Below are 3,256 nucleotides of genomic sequence, written 5' to 3' on the forward strand. Positions count from 1 at the left end.
CCCAATAAATCAGGGGATGGCACCCCAGGGGCCATGATGACCCAGGGGAGGCCCCCTCTGGCTTTGGGATTTACTGAAGGGCAACGCACAGGTGTGCAGGGCAAGAAGCCGCCAGGAGGCCTTGGAAAGATGCTAGCCAGGGCTGATGCCAGTGTCATACAAGTGTTGGGTCTCCCTGGGGCAATGTTCTAGTTGGATGCAGTCTTCCTTTCTTCCCCAGGTCCTGTCTGCTCATCCAGCTCTAGCTGTGGGAGTCAGCTCTGCCTTTGGTGGGGGTTCTGCTACTACCAATTCACGGGTGCTCTCCAGGCAAGCCATCTTGGCTTTTGAAATGTTATTTTCTCATTCATAAAATAAAGATGTTGGCCCGGTCACCAGGTCTGCTTCTCTCTGATGGGTGTCAGGGATGTCTCAGAGGATGCAAGGAGAGTGAGAGAGGTGGGGGAAGCGGGGGAGGCCCCTGAGGGATCAAGCCCTCCTCCCACCCACAGGGCTCCCTGGTCCCTGGGGATTCCCAGCCTGCCCTGCAAAGCCTTCATGGGTGCCCTGGGCGCACCCATGAAGACCCAGGTCCACTGACACCAAGAAAGGAAGGCTTTCCTCCCCTCCGCCCCCAAACCTTGTGCCTTTAAGTGTCTTTGTTTGATCTGAATTCTTGATTGCCGTTGTGGAGGGGTGTGGCTGAGTGGGACTTTTGATCTCGCCTCCCCAGAGTTTCTGGGGTCTGGTTTGGCAGAGAAGTTTGGGGTTAGCAGCAGTCACTGCCATCCGTATGAGGGGGGCGCTCAGGCCCAAATTGATGTCAGGTTCCCGGCCGGGCGGAGTGTTACCTGGAGCTTTGAAGCTTGTAATGTCTCCAGACCGTCTTCTCAAGTCAGCGGCTACAAATGTTAATAAAATTAAAGCCACCTGAGAGTTCAGCTGGGCGATCCTTTGAAAGCAAGTCTGTGATGGGTTATTACCCTCAATTACCTAGTTGTCCACTCTCTTCGCTTGGGGTTAAACTCTTAACTCTTCCCTTTGAAGTCATTATCCTTTTATCTATGACTGGACCAAGGAATTTCAGGACAATAATCAATGGAAACTTCATAAGAATAGAAGACCCGGGAGGGGAAAAGGTGTGAATATCCCTTTAACCGTTGGGGGGAAGGGGGATGGGGGGTGGGGGATGGGGGCCGAGAAGGCCCCGTGTCCCCAACTTGAAGAAGTAAAAAAGGAAGTGGGGGTACCTGATAATGACCCAGCGAGCAATTTTCAGATCTTCTAGAAAATAAAGAGAAAACGATAATTTGGGGGCGATCAGAGAGGTGCAGCCCTCATCAAAGGGGAAGGGAAAGTAATGAAGCAAAAAGACACAATTAAAGAATGGGTTTAATTAGGGCTTTGATGTCTGACATGGTGCATGACACTGTTAAAGGGGGAGGGGGACCAACTATTCAAGCGCCAGGAAATGGCTTATTAAAAAGATCCGTCCCCCAAAGACGCTGCCAGAAAAAGGGGAAACTTCCATGCCGCTTCTCCCACCAAAGAGCAAAGTCAGTTTCACTTAAATCCTCACCATCAGGAGGAAAAAACACCACAACTCTTTTTTTTTTTTCGCAAAAGTCTTTCTGGGTTCCCAGAGGCAGCAGCTCTTTCAGGATTATTATACTTGGTGCTGGCCTCTCCCTGTTTAAAGAGAGAAGGAAAGAGAGAGAGAGGAGAAAAGAAGGAAACAAAACAAAACAACAACAACAAAAAAACGGAGCGTGTGTGCACTAACGAATGTTGGCAATGTGTGTTTCATTTCTCCTTTTCATTTAATCCCATTTGGAATGCTTGTCTACACAGAGAAGACGAAAACACAGGGGGGAAGAGCCAGTCGCACTGGAATGAGCAAGAAGCCTTCTCCAGTAACGAGGAGCTGCCCCAGCTTGGTTTTAGATGTGACAGAGCCGCGTCTGCCCCTCCACCGCGCAGCCCGCACCTCTCAGCCTGACACACACATGCACACACAAACACCGCCAGTTGAGGATTTGAAAGCTCACATTTTGCCCTTGTTACAACTCCCCTACTCCTCATTAAAAAAAGAAATAATAAAATAAAAACTCCTTTTATTGTGTGCAACATCTGGAAAGCTCCCTTCTCCATCTGCTAGGTCCTGACAGTGTTTGCAACCACAAAGCCAGCATCTCCTCCTGCAATGTGTCATGAAGGCTGGGGGTTGGAAGCCCTGGTGAGAAAGCCTGGGAGGGGGTCAGACAAACAGGCCTGCCCTCTGCCTGCTGGATGTTGGAGCCAGCACGGGTCCCCTTGGCCTGGGTTCTGGGGTCTGGGCTTCATGTGACTCTGAGTTTAAGGGAGGCAGCCGGTAGCCCCCTGAGTCTGTTCAGACAGGAAGCAATGGCTGAGCATTCTCATGTTCATAGGAATAACTTGAGTCAGGCCCTCCTGCCAGTGCCGGGAAGAAGGACAAACAGCTTGGAGACCCTAATGTGTATGCTTGGGATTCAATTTGAAATGAGCCTGTTGGGTTTTTATTTCAAAACGCTCCTGTGTTGGGTTTTTATTTCCTCTCTCGTATTTACACACACACTCAGCTAGCACTCTGGGAAAAAAAAAAAAAAAAGACAGCAGGTTTTGAAAAGTAGAGTGGTTTATGTGAAAAGATCAAAATGTTTCTCATACTTTCTCCAAAGGCCTAGGGCTCTTTTCTCCCAGGGACTGAACTTTTTCTCAGAGATAGTAATCCTTTAAAGCCTCAGCCCTCATTTCTTTTAGGTCACTCTTCCATTTCTTGGATTTAAAGAAACCAGAGGGGTCAGAGATGTGGACATGTCACTCAAAATGAGCCACGGGGCTCTGGTCATCCTGCTTTGGGGGATGAGGGTTAGTTAGAATGAGAGCCTGAGTGATGATGGGCTGGTGGACAGAGTCACATGATCCAGGCCCAGCCAATGAGAAGTCACAGAAGTTTAGGATGGCTTGAGCAACGGTCAGGGTGGTGATGTCCTCAGCTGTGATGATCTTGGACACAGTGCCTAGACAGATATGCATGTATTTATATGTGAACCAAATGTGCTGGGCTGTCCAGGATGCTATGATGTATCTGCTCCTAATGAAAGCGAATGCTAAAGTTAGCTCAACAAAAAGCAAACTTCTTCAGATCAAGTGTCATTATTCTAGATACCTAAAAGGGGCTTTATAATACAATTTATGCAGACCCTGGAGGAACTTCTACTTGAATTGGAGGGACTCCTTTGCTTTTCTGCCCAAA

The 3,256-nt window shown here is 48.8% G+C and overlaps 1 annotated feature.

The window, feature by feature from the left end:
- Positions 1,120–1,935: an enhancer, noted in NCBI's record as "NANOG-H3K27ac-H3K4me1 hESC enhancer chr17:63589757-63590572 (GRCh37/hg19 assembly coordinates)". NCBI's record gives its function as "activates a minimal SCP1, AML or CMV promoter by ChIP-STARR-seq in naive H9 embryonic stem cells {active_cell/tissue: H9 hESC(naive)}" and the evidence as "EXISTENCE:reporter gene assay evidence [ECO:0000049][PMID:30033119]".

This window comes from Homo sapiens, chromosome 17 (assembly GCF_000001405.40).
Source record: "Homo sapiens chromosome 17, GRCh38.p14 Primary Assembly".
NCBI lineage: Eukaryota > Metazoa > Chordata > Mammalia > Primates > Hominidae > Homo > Homo sapiens.